This window comes from Homo sapiens, chromosome 2 (genome assembly GCF_000001405.40).
Source record: "Homo sapiens chromosome 2, GRCh38.p14 Primary Assembly".
Lineage (NCBI taxonomy): Eukaryota > Metazoa > Chordata > Mammalia > Primates > Hominidae > Homo > Homo sapiens.
Window position 1 is genome coordinate 128470421 of NC_000002.12, and position 19006 is coordinate 128489426.

Sequence of the window (19006 nt, forward strand, 5' to 3'; positions counted from 1 at the left end):
TGAGACTCTGATGAAAGGGACGAATAGAAGTAAAGGGCTTCCCAAATCTTTAAATAACAAACAGCAGGAGGGAGTTTCAGTAAATCCGTTTTTTAAGACTACCAAATGGAGAAGCTCTTTGAAGACTGTAAAATGGCACTGTTCTCACCTGGGAGGAGAGTCTGGGCTCATGTTCAGGACCCCCAAGTGCACCCACTGGCCAGGCTGGTGTGGGCTGTTGGCCAGAGAAGAATGGGAATCCCAGAGTTTCCCTTATGTTGCATTTTGCCACATGTTATAGGGTTCATCATTCATTCATTCATTCTTTTGTTGCTAAAAGTCCATGGTGCATCCAGTCCTACAGCCGATGTTGTGGCAATGGGGTCTGCAGTACTGGAGCTGCAAGAGCCCACCACACACTTCGGCCCCACTCACTGTGGTGGGCTGGAGGAAGCTGAGCCCTGCTCATTGCAGTGGGCTGGAGGAGGCTGGGATCACTTGCTGTGATGGATAAGGGGAGGCTGGCATCTACTTACTGTGGTAGGTGGGAGGAGACTGGGATCCACTCACTGTGGCGGGCGGGAGGAGGCTGGGATCCACTCACTGTTGGCTGGAGGAGGCTGGGATCCGCTCACTGTGGCGGGCGGGAGGAGGCTGGGATCCACTCACTGTGGCGGGCGGGAGGAGGCTGGGATCCGCTCACTGTGGTGGGCGGGAGGAGGCTGGGATCCGCTCACTGTGGCGGGAGGAGGCTGGGATCCGCTCACTGTGGCGGGAGGAGGCTGGGATCCGCTCACTGTGGCGGGAGGAGGCTGGGATCCGCTCACTGTGGCGTGTGGGAGGAGGCTGGGATCCACTCACTGTGGCGTGTGGGAGGAGGCTGGGATCCACTCACTGTGGCAGGAGGAGGCTGGGATCCGCTCACTGTGGCGGGTGGGAGGAGGCTGGGATCCGCTCACTGTGGTGTGTGGGAGGAGGCTGGGATTCACTCACTGTGGTGTGTGGGAGGAGGCTGGGATCCGCTCACTGTGGCGGGAGGAGGCTGGGATCCGCTCACTGTGGCGGGAGGAGGCTGGGATCCGCTCACTGTGGCGGGTGGGAGGAGGCTGGGATCCGCTCACTGTGGCGGGCGGGAGGAGGCTGGGATCCGCTCACTGTGGCGGGCGGGAGGAGGCTGGGATCCGCTCACTGTGGCGGGAGGAGGCTGGGATCCGCTCACTGTGGCGTGTGGGAGGAGGCTGGGATCCGCTCACTGTGGCGTGTGGGAGGAGGCTGGGATCCACTCACTGTGGTGTGTGGGAGGAGGCTGGGATCCACTCACTGTGGCAGGAGGAGGCTGGGATCCGCTCACTGTGGCGGGTGGGAGGAGGCTGGGATCCGCTCACTGTGGTGTGTGGGAAGAGGCTGGGATTCACTCACTGTGGCGTGTGGGAGGAGGCTGGGATCCCCGCTCACTGTGGCGGGAGGAGGCTGGGATCCGCTCACTGTGGCGGGAGGAGGCTGGGATCCGCTCACTGTGGCAGGAGGAGGCTGGGATCTGCTCACTGTGGTGGGCGGGAGGAGGCTGGGATCCGCTCACTGTGGCGGGCGGGAGGAGGCTGGGATCCGCTCACTGTGGCGGGTGGGAGGAGGCTGGGATTCACTCACTGCGGTGGGTGGGAGGAGGCTGGGATCCTGGGCTGGGGGCAGGAGCTAAATTGCTGGGTGAGAGGAGCAGATGAAGGTGGGACTGGATGAATGAAGGCTCTTGGACATGTGAAAGTCATGACCATATTGTGTGTGAAGGTCAGAAAGTGGTAAGCTTGGTGGAGCAAACAGCTTGCTTAGAGAAGTAAGGGAGGGGCAGGGGAGGGACCCTCTTCCTTGGAACACTCTTTGCCCATTTTTTTTGTTTGACAAACACTTCAAGGCTCTGCTGAAGTGTCACCTCCTTAGGGAAGTTCTCCCTGCTGCCCAGCCCCAGGCTAAATTAGGTGCCCTGATTTTATGGTCTCTCAGCTCTACATGCTTTTTACCACAATTTAGATGAAATCACTATTTATGCGATGATTTGTCACCTGTGATCTGGCAGGGCACCTACCATGGACTCTTTTGTTGTTGTTTTTGAGAGTCTCGCTGTGTTGCCCAGGTTGGAGTGCAGTGGCGTGATCTTGGCTCACTGCAATCTCCGCCTCCTGGGTTCAAGCAATTCTTCTGCCTCAGCCTTCTGAGTAGCTGGGACTACGGACTAACACGCCCAGCTAATTTTTGTATTTTTAGTAGAGATGGGGTTTCACCATGTTGGCCCTGCTGGTCTCGAACTCCTGACCTCGTGATCTGCCTGCCTTGGCCTCCCAAAGTGCTGGGATTACAGGTGTGAGCCACTGCACCCGGAGGCATGGACTCTTACACACCAGCAATGCTTAATGAATATCTGTGCTGGCCTCTGGGTGGAGAATTGGCATTTTGACTCTGTCCATGCCAGAAGGTGTTGCTGAGAGTCCTGAATCCCACTGCCAAGGCTGTGGCTAATGTGTGCGTGAGAAGCCTGCAAGGTCATTTCCCTCTGTTCTGTTTCTTTCTGACAAAATTGAACACGTTTTTGCCACAAATTATCTCTGAACTTCCCTACAGCTCTGAGCTGTTGGCCTCACAGTGCAGCGATGTTTGCAAGAGTCTGAGGGCCCCTGGCTGTAGGCTGGGCTACCTCTCCCTTCCTCCTCCCCTCCTTCCCGCTTCCCTCCTTCCATCCCCGCAGGACCCAGGGTGGGGGTGGGGGTGGGGGTGGGAGCTGTGAGCACCCCACCCTGTGGTTCACAGGAAGATCTGCCCTCTCTGCCGCTGGTGATGAGTTTCAGTTGAACCGACAGTGAGCTATCAGATCGCTTTCTGCAGCGCGTGGCCCTCCCTCCTTCCTGTGGCGGCCCCTGGGCCTCCCAGTCCTCCTTCTGAGGCTGATGTCTATCTGTGAGGGGTCTGTGAGTGAGCAGTGCACACTCCGTCACATGCTCACATTTTCCGCTGATGGTGCTCTCGGGTCCCCAGCCGTTCCAGGAGATTAATGATGTGGTGCAAGACAGGGGAAAGAGGCGTCTTTCTTAACCACGCAAACTCCCTGTGACAGATGATTGGGTTTCCTGAAAGCAGAGCTGCTGACTTCCACTGACATTTGTGTTAGAGCGAATCCAAACCAGATTTTGCGGATTGCTTTAAATTTGTCTGTGTGGAATGCTCGGTCTCACTGCTCCCGTCGCTGTCATCTTGGCAAAGGGCTACACCAAAGACGGGGCCCATGGGGCGTGGAGAACATTCCTTCCCGTCACACCGCCCATGCTCAGTCAGGAGCGCACATGGGTTCTTGTGTGTTTGTACTCAGGGAGACAGGGCTTGGGGGTCCAGCCAGGAGTATCACCTCTGCATCTGCACCACCCTGAAATAGCCTGACGAAAAGTTGGCTTGGTTCCATGCAAAGAGGCTGGCTGTGCTCAGGGCAGCCAGTACCTGGGCACTCTGCTTGGTGCAGAGCGGGCCTTTGGATGAGTGATTACCACACCATCTGGATGTCTTCCGGGAGGGACTATCACATCCTCCCTCACCAAGCTCTCCAGGCCATGCCAGCTGGAGGGGGCGCCATTAAGGAGTGAGGGCCCAGCAGAAAAAGTGGCCTCCAAGATGCCCACATGGTCCCTGGCTCAGCCCCGTCCTCCAGCCCCCTCAGCCTGCTCTGTGGCCTGCCCCTGCTCCTCAGGGGTTTGAGCCCAGGTTGAGTCCCAAATGCTGTCAGCTCACAGAGCTCTCATGTCCAGGGTGCACTCCTGTCCTCAAGGATACCCTCTGCCAGGACAGGATGGGGCGCTGGGGCACCCCCCCTTTGTAGGTGCTTGTCTTGGCCTGAGCAGTAGGTGCACACTGTCAGCGCAGTGGTCATTCAATTAAAACAAAAGCAGCAGTGGGGTTGTGAGGGGACCAGTGGCCTTGCCTTGTGGTACAGGCTTCATTCTGAGTCCAGTGGGCAACTCTGAAGGATGACAACATGTTCCTGTGGGAGTTCTAAGCGAGGGGTTGGACATGAACCCAGACCAAAGAACACTCCAAATACTCTGGCCCCAGGTTCCTCTCAGATTCTCTCCCCTTGGGTCTGTGCCAACCCCACCCCCCACATGCCCTGGGAAGCTGAGGGGTCCTGTTTGTCCCTTCCCTGGTCCCTCCCAGCTCCGTGTGGCAGAGCTGAGTGCCAGGGCTGCAGGGGAGACCTCTTCTGAGTGCTCTGAGCTTGTATGTGTGTGTCTCTGCAGTGTGTTTCCCGAATGAACTGTGTATGCAAAGAGACCCCCAAAGGCAGGAGGAGCGGAGAAACCACAGAAGGAGGCAGACAAGGCCAACTTGTTGTTAGAGGTTGGTTTTACTGGGGAATGTACAGACAGAAGCGTGGTCTTGGGTGGCCGCAAGACAGGAAGATCTCTGCACTGTTACCCCAGGACCAGGGCTTCTATACCACAGGAAAGGGTGTACGTGCTTTAGAAGGAATGGGCAGGAATCTGATCTAAGGGCAGGATTTAGGGTAAGTGCCTGCTCTCACACAAGGAACAATAGATAAACTGGAAATCTCAGGGGCATTCCCAGAAGCAGAGTTAACCAGAAGTCAACATAGTGCACTAACCCAAGATGGTGTTACTTTAGCCTCCATACTGTTCTGCTGGGCCCTTACTCTGTGTGCCCCAGCACCCCATCTTCTCCCAGCAGAGGGGATCCTTGAGGACAGGAGTGCGCCCTGGACATGAGAGCTCTGTGAGCTGACAGCATTCGGGACTCAACCTGGGCTCAACCCCATGAGGAGTGGGGGCCGGCCATGGAGCAGGCTGACTGTGGGGCCCAGGCTGGAGGTGGGGGCTGAGCCAGGGACCATGCTGGCATCTTGGAGCCACTCTTTCTGCTGGGCCCCCGCCCCTTAATGGCTTCCCCTCCAGCTGCCGTGGCCTGGAAGCACTTTTCTGCTGGGCTCCCCCCAGGCAGCAACCCAGCATCCTGGTGAGCACCAAGCCTCAGACTGTTGCAGTGCTTTTGCCGTTTGACCATCCCCGCTGGTGACATGGGCATTGGCTGCCCCACAGCTGCCCGCCCTGCCCCAGGCAGGCCTCCTGGTACACAGTTGGTACCACCACCGTTTAAGACATACCCGGGGTGAAGTGAAAAAGCAATGCTCCACCCAGCGACTTGGGAGGGCAGATTCGGCTGCTTGGCAGGGAGCAGGAGGAGGGGTGAGGGGGTGCTGGGATTGGCATCTGCGCATCCTCCTGAGGCCTCCTGGGCCTTCAGGCCACTCCACAGCAGTGGCCCTCATTGTGCCGTGGAGACTTGACCAACTCCCACAGACACGTGCTGCACACCCTACCCAGGCACGTGGCTGGGGCTTCTCTCCCAGGGTGCCCAGCCCAGCCCAGCTACTCTGCTAGGACTCCTGTGTGCTCTGGCCTGGTGACTGGACCACAGCACAGATGGGATCTCGGGCTGTCCCCACTTCTGCCCCTTAAAGCCCAGGCTGCTGCCTCTCCCATGCGCCACCCCACTCTGCCTGCCTCTCTGCCTTCCCCAGCCAAGGTCCCAGCTCAGCTTCCCAGGGTCCCTTCTGGGTGGGTGGAAGGCAGGGAGTTTTCTTATGGTTTCCCTGCCTACCAGGGCCTGGCCAGGGGACCAGGGGATGGGGAGGGAGCTGGGAGCTGTTGGTGTCGCCCGGCCTCAGTATGTAAGCTCTTCCTCCCCACCTTGGCATTTCTGCTGCGGCTCTTTCTGGTTGTCCCCAGTGTGTCCCCAGTGTGGTCCCCAGTGGCCACGGGTGTGGACTCTGTTCAGGGTTCAACTTGGAACCTCACTTAGTGGCAACTGATATCAGGAAAGTGATTTAACCTCCCCATGCGTTTACTCTTTTTTAAAAAATCTGTCAGATGGGGATACTAATGGTATTTGGCTTTCAGGGTTGTCTCAGTACTAAGTGGTGTTAGAGACTTAGCACAGGCTGGTGAAGGTCAGAGGGGTCATGAGGACCATCCCTGCCACAATCCCTCTCCTCTCAGGGAGGCTGGAATCAGGGAAATGACCAATTGACCATTCAATGGAGCCCTGCGAAAGGCTACAACAGGCTGTCCTGTGCGCTGTCCCAGAGTCCAGATTCTCCTATGAAAATGACCTGCTCTAGTTAAGAGGCTGGTTTGCAAAGTGTTTCTGAAACGACTTTTCAAATCATGACCTAAGTTTCCACAGAAATGCTACAGGGACAAACAGGAGGCTGGTGGGTGTGCTCTGTCCCCTCCTCCATCCAACAAGGGCCACTTTGTCTCTGCAAACTCCTTTAAATATTGTGTTCCATGTAAGAGTTTTTAAAAAATACATGACATACTGTTAAACAAGTTTGAACATGAATACATCCATAATACATTTTTTTTGGTAAAGTTTGGGCACCACTGTGGTAAAATGTCATCATCATCGTGATTATCATCACCATTTTTGAAATAAAATCATACAGCATTCTGCCACAGGCCAGGCAGTCTTCTGAATTCTGGTTAATTCTAATATCTATTTTAATAGGGGAGATTTTTCAGGCTAAGAAAGTGAGCTGCAACTCTGTGTGTTGTGTCCACGCCTGTCATGAAACGACTCTTTAGACCCCTGGTGTAAACTGAAGGAGGGTCCCTTCGGGAGGTGCTGGGATCTCAGGGTCTCCTGGGATTGGACTCTGTCCTCCCCTGGTGAGGTTAGGGCTCACTGAGGGGCCATCCTGGGGGCTCAGTGCCTCTGAGGCTTCCGTATATCGGTCAGTCAGCTGCTAAGCTTGGAAAGGGTCTGAGCCCTGTGGTCAGGACAAGCACCAAGCTCTGGGGTCCGACACCACAGAGTTTGAGGAGCACCGGCACCAGCCAGCCAGGGGTGAATTGCAGCCGCCCAGTATTCTCCTCTGGTGGTGGTGATGATTAGATGACCGGGTGTCTGTCCGGCCTGTATTATGATGGTGCCAGGGACTCTGCAGCTTTCACTCCTCTGTGGGCAGGATTCTTTAGGAAAAGTAACAGAAACTGGCTGGACAACTTAAGGAGAGGGAAGCTTTTGGAAGATTCTAGGGCAGCCGTCAGAACTGAAGAATGATTTGAATTAAGCCAGGACAGGAGTCAAAGCAGGAGTCCCAGGACTGTGTCGTCCTATGCTAAGAATTGGCCCCACAGCGAGAGAGCATTTGAGGCTCCTCTCCTGGCTGAGGGAGGGTGGGCTGCTTGGTTGGCCATTCCATCAAGGTTGGATCTAGTGAGGAGGAGGTTCCCCAAGAAAAACAGAGGTCCTGCTACCTGAAGGAGGGAACAGACATGGAGTGGGCAGTTGCCTCCACTTAGCTGGTCTCTGCTTGCATGCTCATTCTCTTCCCATCTGTCTTGCATACAGCTGTCTAATCAATCTAAACCACCATTTGCATCTGAGCACTTGCGTCTGAGTGTTGCTACGTTAGAGTTGATGATGGACTGAGGCATTCTATCTTTTCTTCTGGGCTTGTTATTTCTCTTTAGTTTTGAATTCTAGATCTAGCAACTTTGCTAGCTCCATCCTTTCCAGAATTCAAAGTCCACTCCTTTCAGTCCATCAAATTGGCCATCAGTTTCTTCCAGGGCAGAGACCATGTCTTCCTCTGCTCCCTGTTTCTCTCTCTCTCCTCCCTGTCACTGGCCTCTCACTGCCCCAGTGCCTAGGAGAGGGCCCCACCATCATGCTCATGTGTCCTTCTGTGCAATGAGGTTGTTGCAATTGGGGCGCTCAAGAGTATGATGATGGGCGCATCAAGTCATATGATGAAAGATCAGGCAGTTGTTAAAATCATGCTTATGAAGAAATGTTAATGACACAGATAAATGCTCATGGAATGTCAAATGAAAAAAGCAGGACCTTACACAGAATATATCACACAGAAGGCTTGAGGAAAAAGCACACAAGAAAATGCTACAAAATATTAATAGTGGTTGTTTTTAAATAGAGGAATTTTGTGTGATTTATATTTTCTTCTTTCTACTTTTCTGCATTTTAAAATTTCTTTCAAGGATTATATATTACTTCCATTTTAGTGCTTGCTTTATTTATTTATTTATTTATTTAGAGACGGAGTCTTGCTGTGTCGCCCAGGCTGGAGAGCAGTGGCGCAATCTTGGCTCACTGCAACCTCCGCCTCCCAGGTTCAAATGATTCTCCTGCCTCAGCTTTTTGAAGCTGGGATTACAGGGGCCCACCACCATGCCCGGCTAATTTTTGTATTTTTAGTAGAGGTGGGGTTTTGCCATGTTGGCCAGACTGCCTCAAACTCCTGACCTCAAGTGATCCGACTGCCTCAGCCTCCCAAAGTGCTGGGGTTATAAATGTGAGCCATTGCGCCCAGCTGGTATTATTTGTATAATGAGAAAACAAGGTTAAAAATTATTGAAAAGTAACAGAAGCATCTGTGTTCTGAGGTGATGCTGCCCAGCTTGATGGAATATGAATGGGATTCAATATTTTCCCCTTTATCCAGGTGTTTCATTATTTTACAGGAAGGTAAAGGGAGATGTAATTAAAACAAACAAAACAAAACAAAATCCTCAACCCCCGCAAGACCACATTTCCCATCCTGATTTTTAGATTCTATTGGAGAACAGAGTAAAATCAGGTGGATTTATCAGGGTACCTCCTGGAGGAGAACCTGGAGACATTCTCTGTCTGCACTCAAGGAATGTGCCCAAATGTGGATAAAATATGCATCCCTTCCAGTGTCATGTGATGCTTATCCAACTCTGGAACTGGAATAAAACAAACTGCTGTTAAAATCTTGACTCAGCTGTTGACCTTAAGCAAGTCATCATTTACTCGTTCTCATCTGCAAAATGGGAATGATGACACCTTCCTGGCCAGGCTGTTGTAAAGATAATGATCCTCCTTATAGCATGTCTTGTCTGGTGCCCGGCACACAGTAGGGGTTCAACCATGATGTGCTTTTTCTGCGAACACCTCTGTGTGGGCTCCAAGGGCAGAGTTCACTGTGGCCTCCCTGTTTCTCCTGCTCCAGTGGCAGGTCCCATAGCTGCTGGGGAGAAGCATCTGAATATTCCTGTCCCGAGTGTCACAAGAAGGTCTGCAGATGTCTGATAAGCAGCCAAGGAAGGGGAATCAGAGTGAAGGAAAGGCAAGGATTAAAAAAGAGACAGAGGGGCATGAAAAAGAGAAAATGGCAATTGTGTAATTATAAAAGATAATATAAATGCCTATTTTCTTTTTCTCTCTTAACTGATTTAAAAAGCAATTGTATAAAATAATATGTTTATAGTATATTGCAGGGTGTGTAAAGTATAGAAATGTAATCTATTTGCCAATAATGGCACAAAGGAGGTGAGTGGGAAAAAAAGCTGCTCTGGGCGAAGGAAAAGACTACAGATAGCAAATTAACAATTATAGCAATGTATTGTTAGGTTTGTAACATTAATAGATGTAATATGCATAACAGTGATACCATAAAAAGAGGGGGGAATAAAATAGAACTATATAGGGATAACATTACTATATGTCACTGAAATTAAGCTAGTATAAATATGAAACTGATTTTGATAAGTTAAGATATACATGGTAAGCCCTAGAGCAATGACTAAAAACACAACCCCAAAATATAGTGAAAAAATTATCAAACAAATTATAATACTGCATTAGAAAATAATACAATAGAAAGGGTAGAAGAGAATAGCAAAACGAAAAGAGAGACAGGGGACATAGAAAATAAAAAGTAAAATGGCGAATGTCAAGGCAGCTATATCAATAATACATTAAATGAATAAATTAAGCAATCCAGTCAAAAGGCAGAGATTGTCAGACTGGATAAAACATGATTCAGCCATATGCTATCTATAATACAAAATACACAGTTTAGAGTCAAAGATACAAATAAACTGAAAGTAAAAGAATGGAAAAAGACACATTATGCCAAGAGCAATCACAATAAAGCTGGGTGGTCATACTGATATCAGACAAAATAGACTTTAAAACCAAAAATATTAGTACAAAGAGACATTTTATGATGATAATAGGGTCAATTCATCAGGACGATACAACAATTATAAACATGTATGCAACTAATAACTGAGCACCCAGATAGATGAAACAAAAGCTGACAGAAATGAAGAGAGAAATGTACAATTCAACAGTAATTGTTGGAGACTTAAATAACCCACTTTTAATAATGTATTGAACTAAACATAAGATTAACAGGAAAATAGAAGACTTGAATAACACTGTAAGCTAAATAGACTTAACACATATCTACAGAACATTCTGTACAACTACAGAATATATATTGTTTTCGAGTACACATAGAACATTCTCCAGGATAGACCAGAAGCCATAAAACAAGCCACAACAAATTTAAAAGAGTGGAAATAATACAAAGTACAATATCCAATTATAATATGAATTAGAAATCAATATCAGGGAAAAAAAAACTTGTAAAACTCACAAATATGTGGAAATTAAACAACATACTCCAAAATAGCTAATGGATCAAAGAAGAAATCAAAAGTGAATCAGAAAATACTCTCACATGAGTAAAAACAAAGACACAACATACCAAAATTCATGGGATACAGCAAAAGCAGTGCTAAGAATGAAAATTTGTAGCTGTAAATGCCAATATTAAGAAAAAACAAAGATTTCAAATCAATAACCTAAACTTCCACCTTAAGACACTTGAGAAAAAAAGAGCAATCTAAACCTAAGGCAAGCAGAAAGAAGGAAATAAAAAGACTAGAGTATAAATTAATAAAATAGAGAATAGAAAAACCATCTGAAAAATTCAATGGAATAAAAACCTGGTTCTTTGGAAAGATCAACAAAATTGACATTTAGCTAGACTTATTGAGGAATGAAAGAGGACAATAACCTGAATTGGAAATGAAAGAGGATATATTAGTATCAATATTACAGAAATTAAAAGGACCATAAAGAAATACTATAAACAGGGCCAGGCATGATGGCTCACACCTGTAATCCCAGCACTTTGGGAGGCCAGGGCGGGAGGATCACTTGAGGTCAGGAGTTTGAGACCAGCCTGGCCAACACGGTGAAGCCCTATGTCTACCAAAAATACAAAAATTAGCCAGGCATGGTGGTGCACGCCTGTAATACCAGCTACTCGGGAGGCTGAGGCAGGAGAAGCGCTTGAATCCAGGAGGCAAAGTTTGCAGTGAGCCGAGATCGCGCCACTGTACTATGGCCTGGGAAAGAGTGGGACTCTGTCTCAGAAAATAAATAAATAAATAAATAAATAAATAAATACTATAAACAACTGTATGCCTAAAACTTAGATAATGAAGATGAAATGTACAAATTTCTAGAGAGACACAAACTACTAAAACTGACTCAAGAAGAAATAGACAAACTGAATAGACCTGTAACAAATGAAGAGATTGAATTAGTAATCAAAAAAACTACCTACGAAGAAAAGCCAAGGTCCAGATCGTGTCACAGCTGAATTCTACCAAACACTGAAAGGAGAATTCATACCAATCTCTCACAAACTCATTCAAAAAATAGAAGAGAAAGTAACATCTACAAATTCACTTTGAGGCCAACATTACCCTGGTACCAAAACCAGTCAAAGTTATCACAAGAAAACTACAGATCGGTATAATATCTTTCATAAATATGGATACAAATATTGTCAACAAAATGCTAGCAAACTGAATCCAATAACATATTTTTAAATTATGCACTGTGACCAAGTGGAATTTATCCCAGAATGCAATGTTGGTTCAACATGTAAAAATCAATTATTGTAATGCACCATCTCAATAGAATAAAAAATAAAAACCACACAATCATCTCAATAGAAACAGAAAAAAGTATTTGACAAAATTCAACACTTTTTTTTTTTTTTTTGAGACGGAGTTTCACCCTTGTTGCCCAGGCTAGAGTGCAATGGCGTGATCTCGGCTCACTGCAACCTCTGCCTCCCGGGTTCAAGTGATTCTCCTGCCTCAGCCTCCTGAGTAGCTGGGATTACAGGCATGTGCCACCATACCCGGCTAATTTTGTATTTTTAGTAGAGACGGGGTTTCTCCATGTTGGTCAGGGTGGTCTGGAACTCCTGACATCAGTTGATCTGCCTGCCTTGGCCTCCCAAAGTGCTGGGATTACAGGCATGAGCCACTGTGCCTGGCCCAAAATCCAACATATTTTTATGATAAAAACACTCAACAAACTAGGAGTAGAAGGGAGCTTCTTCAATTTGATAAAGAGCATCTATGAAAAATCCACAGCTAACATCATACTTAATGGTAGAAGACTGGACGCTTTCTCCCTAAGATCGGGAATAAGAAAAGGATGCCAGTTCTTACCACTCCCATTTAACATTGTGTGGAGGTTCCATCCCAGGCAATTAGAAAAGAAGAAATTACATTATCTTAATTCACAGATGACATATCTTGTATAGAAAAATCTTTTAAAAATTAGGATATCCACTAAGAAACTATTAAAGCTAATAAATGAGTTCATTGAGGTTGCAGAACACAAGACCCATATAAAAATTAATTGTATTTTTATACACTTGCAGTAAACAATCCAAAAATGAAATTAAGAAATCAATTACATTTAAATAGCATCAAATAAATTACATTTAAGTAGCATCAAATAAATTACATTTAAATAGCATCAAAATTTGTACATAAGATATGTACAAATAAGTTTAACAAAAGAAGTGCAAAACTTATACTCTGAAAACTAAAAACATTGTTGAACAAAATTAAAGATCGAAATAAACAGAAAATCGTACTGTGTTTATAAATCACAGATTTAATCATGTTAAGAGGGCAATACTTCCCCAATTGATCTACGTATTTAATATAATCCCTATCTGAATACCAGTTATTTTCTTTGTTGAAATTGACAACTTAATTCTAAAATCCATATGGAATTACAAGGAGTTACAAATACCTAACACAATTTTGAAAGAGAAGAACAAAATACAAGGATTCACATTTCCCAATTTCAAAACTTACTACAAACAATGATAATGAAGACAGAGGAGGCAATGGCACAAGGATAGACATGTAGATCAATAAAATATAATTGAGAGGCCAGAAACAAATCCATACATCTATGGTCAACTGATCTTCAACAAGGATTTCAATACCATTCAATGGGGGAAAAATATTCTTTTCAGCAAATGGTGCTGCCACATGTAAAAGAATAATGTTGGATCCTTACCTCATACCATATACAAACATTAATGTAACATAAATTAAAGCTGTTATAACCATAAAACTGTCAGGAAAAAACATGGGTAAATCTTCATTATCTTGGACTTGGCAAAGGATTCTCAGATATGATATTAAAAGCATAAACAACCAAAGAAAAAATAGATAAGTTGGACATTCATATATGTAGAAAGAGCTCTTACAATTCAATAAGACAATGACGTTCTAATTTTAAAATAGGCAAAGGGTATAAACAGTCATGTCTCCAAGTAAGATGTATAAATGGCTAATAAGTACATGAAAAAATACTCAATTTCATCATTATCAGAAAAATTGTCATCAAAAAATGCAAATCAAAACCACAGTGACAAGCCACCTCACTCTCACTAGGATGGTAGGATGCGATCCAGCAATTCCACTCCTAGGCATACACCCAACAGGAAGGAAAACATTTGTCCACACAAAAACTTGTACATGTTCATAGCAGCATTATTCATAAGACATGAAGAGTAGGAGTAACCCAAATGTCCATCAACTGGTGAACAGGTAAACAAAATATGGTATAGTCATACAAAGGAATATTATTTGGCCATAATAAGAAATTATATATGGATACATGGGTGAGCCTTGAAAACATTATGCTAAGAAGCCAGTCATTCATATCAATTATGTAATATAGAAGTCCAGAATAGGGAAACCTATAGAGACAGAAAGTAGGTTAGCGGTTGCTCAGGGCTGGGAGGGTAGGATAGGGGCATTAAGCGGTGAGAACTAAACGGTACAGCACTTCCTTACAAGGTGATGAAAATACTCTAAAGTTGATTGTGGTGATGGGTGCATGTGTCTGTGGATATGTCAAAAAACATTGAACTGAACATTCAAATAAGTGAATTGTAAAATATATGAATTATCTCTTAATAATGCTGTTAAAAACAAACAAATATCAGTAACTTTTTTTTTTGATGGAGTTTCGCTCTGTCACCCAGGCTGGAGTGCAATGGTGTGATCTGTTGCCCAGGCTGGAGTGCAATGGCGCGATTTCGGCTCACTGCAACCTCCACCTCCTGAGCTCAAGAGATTCTCCTGGCTCAGCTTCCTGAGTAGCTGGGATTACAGGAATGTGCCACCATGCCCAGCTAATTTTTTGTATTTTTAGTAGAGATGGGGTTTCACCATGTTGGTCAGGCTGGTCTTGAACTCCTGACGTCAGATGATCTGCCCGCCTCAGCCTCCCAAAATGTTGGGATTACAGGCATGAGCCACTGCACCCGGCCAGTAAAATTTTTAAAGATAGGAAAAGAGAAAATGGAGAGAGAAACAAAAAAAGAAAAGGTAACAAATGTCAACATCAGTAAATAACCTTAGTTGGGGAGACACATGAAGATGTTGGCAATTGTGTGGAATAGCACATAAGCTGACATTAAATGAAATGTCACCAAATGCCAAAAAGAACAAGAGTGGCCCCCAAGGCAGCCTAGAACCACAGAAGCTGAGGTCCTAGCAAGGGCACTGCTGGATTGAATGTGCTCTGGGGAATTTATGGACTTCCTCAAGAGGCAGAGATCTAGGCCCAGGTGGACATTAGACCTCCACTTGTTTGTCCATGACGTGAGTGGCTGCTTGGCTCAATAGGATAATAATTTTTGCATACTAGAAGACTTTCTTTTTTTGCACTCTTCAAAGTGTAACACTTCCAGACACACACACTTTTAATGTAATGTAATCTGCATTTTTTTTTTTTTTGAGATGGAGTCTTTTAGTAGAGACGGGGTTTCACCATGTTGGCCAGGCTGGTCTTAAACTCCTGACCTTGTGATCCACCCACCTTGGCATCCCAAAGTGTTGGGATTACAGGCATCAGCCACCGCGCCCAGCCAATGTAATCTTCATTTTTAACATTCCTTTATCACTGAAATCAGTAATGTTATAAGCTGAATTTGTAGCATTTGCTGATTTCTGTAGTGGAAATACCCCCACCATGGTCCATTTAAGGGTACCACCGTGATGTCACTGATGCTTGTTGGGAGGAGACCTGCAGCGGCCACCACTGAATACCATCCCCACCACCTAGGTACACCAGGTGCCAGTAACCTCAACAGCACAGGGGCAGGAGTAAAGCAATTTGGAGGAGGTGAATTCTGTGTATTTATTGCCTCTTGTTGTCATATAACGTGCTTCATTGTAGGTTTATATAATTTAATTTTTGGCAATGGCTGTGTTTAACAACATCGAGCCAGGACTGAGTGGCTCCAGTGCACCGCTGAGCTTCAGTGACCTTGGGCAAGTTAGTTGCCCTCTCTGAGCCTCCCTCTGAGGCCAGTGAATGGATACTTATATGAACCACCTCCTGGGAAAGTGAGAGGGCAAGGAGGCAGCCTGTCCTCCCTGAGGCTCTGTGAATGCTGGAAGCCTACCCCAAGCGGGTTGACTCTTCTGTTCCCATGGAGATATTTCAGGACTGTCTCCTGCCTTAAGTCAAGAGTCCCAGAAACAGACTGTGAGGTGGAGGAGTGGGTGTTGATGTATGTGCTTTGGGAGGTGAGAGGGAAAGAGGAGACGCTGACCGTGGTGCGGCGCAGCCCAGGCATCCGACCAGCAGCAGTGGAGACCTAAATCCCATAGCGCAGGCCTCGGCGCTGGCGCTTGCTTTTTCCTCCGCCTGCCCGACCTCCCCCATAGCATGGGGGACTGCTCCTCACTTCATTCAGGTTCAAACGTGCCTGCCATAGAGTGGAGGATGACCCTGACTTCTACACCGGAGAGCTTTGTCTCTGTCCTGTCACTCTTCAGGACGTCAGGCCATCATTGCCGGTGCGACGGGTGCCGCGCTCAGCTCAGTGCGGCCAGGTCCTTGTTCTAATCTGTCCGGTGCCCACTAATTACAGTCCCTCGGTCAGCGCCTGGCACATAAAGAGGCTTGGCTCACCGCTGCTGCTGAATGAGGAAAGTGCTTCTCCTGTGCTGAAGGATACGGGGGCACTGCTTGCACGTCAGCCGCGTGGCCGGGGGCGGGGTGGGGGGGGGGTCATGCCGGTGACATAGCCTTAGTCTCCCCCTCTGTAAAGTGGGAGTGATTCTCACGTCTGCCGCGTGGGGGTGCTGTGCCTGACTCTGGGGAGCTGTCTGCGTGGATCCACGGAGCACTGAGCACGGAGCCTGGAGCTTGGTGGGCACCATGGAGACGGTGCCCTGACCCTCCCAGAGCACTGCACCAACACCACCATGCCTACTCTGCCACGGGGCCTACTTATGTTCTCTCCAATCGCCTTCCCAACCTACCATGGCAGGCTATACAGATGAGGAAGCTGAGGCTCAGACGCTGTCAAGAACTCAAGAATAGGGGCCGATGTGTGTCTGGGCTGGGGTTGGAAAGCAGGCCAGCATGTCCCCAGACACTCTCACGGCTGCCTCAGCCTCTGCTCAGATGTCCTCTTCTGATCATTCTGTTCAGCCCATTCCTGTTTCCTGCTTTAATCTCTGTAGTACATCTCATTGTGTAACTTACTACCTATTTTACTTGCTCACTTGTTGGTCTGTCAGCCCCAGGAGGACGGGAACTTTGTCCATCTGCGAGGGATGCAGGAAGGCACAGAGAGGCTTCAAAATATATTGGCTAAGAGCTCAGGGTCTGGAGTGGTCCTGATTCCAGGGTTACTGGTGCACATTCCAGATTCATCTCTCACAAGCTGTGTGGCTTTGGATGAGTTACTTAACCTCTCTGTGACTCAGTTTCCTCATTCTCAATACAGAGATAGGAATGGTACCCACCTCCAGGTTGTTGAGAAGATTAAATGAGATGATAGCTGGGAGGTGCTTAGCAAGGTGTCTAGTGCAGAGCAAGCCCTCCATAAATGTGAGCATAAACAAAACAGCTGGTGGAGTGGCTCCTCTCAGCTTCTGTCTGTCATCAAGGACCTGGGGGTTCCAGTATGGCTCCTCACAATGCCTGCATTCAGCCAGAGAGAAGGGAGAAAAGGACAAGGCGAGGCACAGCCCTGCCCTTTAAAGACAACGCGGAAATGGGGCATCATTACTTCTGCTTAACACCCCACTGGCCATGATTAGTCACATGGCCAAATCTGCTGCAATAGAGTCTGGGAAATGATTTCTGTAGTCTAGATGGCTGGAAATCCAGCTGACAGTGGAGAGAAAGGGAAGACAGATACTGGGGAACCACTAGAAGCTCTGCCACATGAATTTATTCAGCATTGAAATTTCTATTTAGTAGTACCTCCTCCAGGAAGACTTCCCTGATTACTCTTCCCTCCCCAACCCCATGGGTCTCTTCTCTCCTCCTCTCCCCTTTCCCACACTGTTCTGTCTAGCACTGGTAGCACTGGATTTAATTTAATTAAATCTAATTGTCCACCTTTTCCAAGGGACTCCTTACCTGCCTCCTGTCATCCAACACAGATGACCCCAAAATCCATTTTAAAAACCTCAGAGCAGAAACAGGAGATCAAACGAATGAGTATTAAAAGCAGATAATGTAAGGTGAAGACAGGGGAGGTCAGAGTCAAAACTGCAGGGGTGGGTGCTGGAAGAAGGAAGAGAGCCAGTGCTGACCTGTGTCCACGCCATGTGGGGCATGGGATAGGGGCCGACAGGGAACAGCTTCTTCACTGGCTCCCACTGCCCACCTCCTCCTTCAACTCATTCCTCTCCCAGCAGCCTGGGGGCTTTAAGAGTCAGTGCTTTTTCTTCTGTTTAAGAACAACTTCTTACTCTTCATAATACATGAAAAGTTCAGATAACCCAATAAGATAAGAAATCTAATAGGAAAATAAGCAAAAGACATGAAAGGAAATTTACAGGAGAGTTAGCACACCTGGCTAAGAAATGTATCAAAAGTTGTCCTACCTTAAAATTAATTGAAGGAATGAAAAATTTAAATAACACTGACAAATCATTTTTAACAGACTTTATTTTTTGGAGCAGTTTTAGGTTCTTATAGCAAAATCGAGCCGAAGGTACTGAGAAATTCCATACATACCTTGAGCCCACACACCACAGCCTCCCCCACTGCAACATCCCCCACAGGAAAGAATTTTTCATCTATCAGTTCAGTAAAGATTCAAAGGGAACCCATATACAATGCCAGTGGTGTTGCTGTACTTGTTTTTGAGGGAAAATATGGAAATTTTTATGAACATTTCAAATGTGCTTACCATTGACTCAATAATGCAGGTTCTAAGAATGTGTTGTACCTGCACAGATGCATTAAGTATGTATAAGGATGTTTATTTCATCAATTCCCAGAGAAACAACAACAACAACAACCGAATGGAAGTACTCTAAATGTAGATGGCTGGGAGAAGATAAGATAAATAATACCCATGAAAACAGTAGACTCCTTTGACCCTATTAAAACAATGAAATTGATCAGTCTGCACTGATATGGAAAGACGTCAATGATTGTTAGATATCAAAGCAGCATACAGAACAATGTTTATCTCTGTCTATGTTTGTTAAAAAAGTAAAGATGTAAAGAAAAATGTCTGTAAAGATCTAGAAGCAGTGGTTAGCCTGAGAAAAAATGGAAGTGGAGAAATACATGCTCTATTTTACTCATTTTCTAAAAAAACCTAGCATATGTTATTTTTGCAATCAGAAAAAACAATAAAAGTATTTCCACACACACACAAAACAAACTAGAAAGTCAGACCTGATTAAAATTTGTGATTTGCAAATATTCTTTGATGAGAGATGGATAATCAGGATGGACTCAGCCAACTGTGGAATGGCTGAACATCAGCAAACCTACATTCCACCTTAGCTGGTTCCTTGTCCCAGGATAATGACCCAGG

The 19006-nt window shown here is 46.6% G+C and overlaps 1 long non-coding RNA gene across 1 annotated transcript in view, besides 4 other annotated features; it reads left to right on the forward strand.

The window, feature by feature from the left end:
- Positions 1-19006, forward strand: part of LOC105373611 (uncharacterized) — a 241632-nt gene that overhangs the window by 67818 nt on the left and 154808 nt on the right. The gene's annotated exons all lie outside the window — the stretch shown is intronic.
- Positions 2654-2743: a silencer, noted in NCBI's record as "silent region_11952". NCBI's record gives its function as "represses an Ori minimal core promoter by ATAC-STARR-seq in GM12878 lymphoblastoid cells {active_cell/tissue: GM12878}" and the evidence as "EXISTENCE:reporter gene assay evidence [ECO:0000049][PMID:35858748]".
- Positions 4939-5440: an enhancer, noted in NCBI's record as "H3K4me1 hESC enhancer chr2:129232933-129233434 (GRCh37/hg19 assembly coordinates)". NCBI's record gives its function as "activates a minimal SCP1, AML or CMV promoter by ChIP-STARR-seq in naive H9 embryonic stem cells {active_cell/tissue: H9 hESC(naive)}" and the evidence as "EXISTENCE:reporter gene assay evidence [ECO:0000049][PMID:30033119]".
- Positions 15353-15854: an enhancer, noted in NCBI's record as "H3K4me1 hESC enhancer chr2:129243347-129243848 (GRCh37/hg19 assembly coordinates)". NCBI's record gives its function as "activates a minimal SCP1, AML or CMV promoter by ChIP-STARR-seq in naive H9 embryonic stem cells {active_cell/tissue: H9 hESC(naive)}" and the evidence as "EXISTENCE:reporter gene assay evidence [ECO:0000049][PMID:30033119]".
- Positions 15855-16354: an enhancer, noted in NCBI's record as "H3K4me1 hESC enhancer chr2:129243849-129244348 (GRCh37/hg19 assembly coordinates)". NCBI's record gives its function as "activates a minimal SCP1, AML or CMV promoter by ChIP-STARR-seq in naive H9 embryonic stem cells {active_cell/tissue: H9 hESC(naive)}" and the evidence as "EXISTENCE:reporter gene assay evidence [ECO:0000049][PMID:30033119]".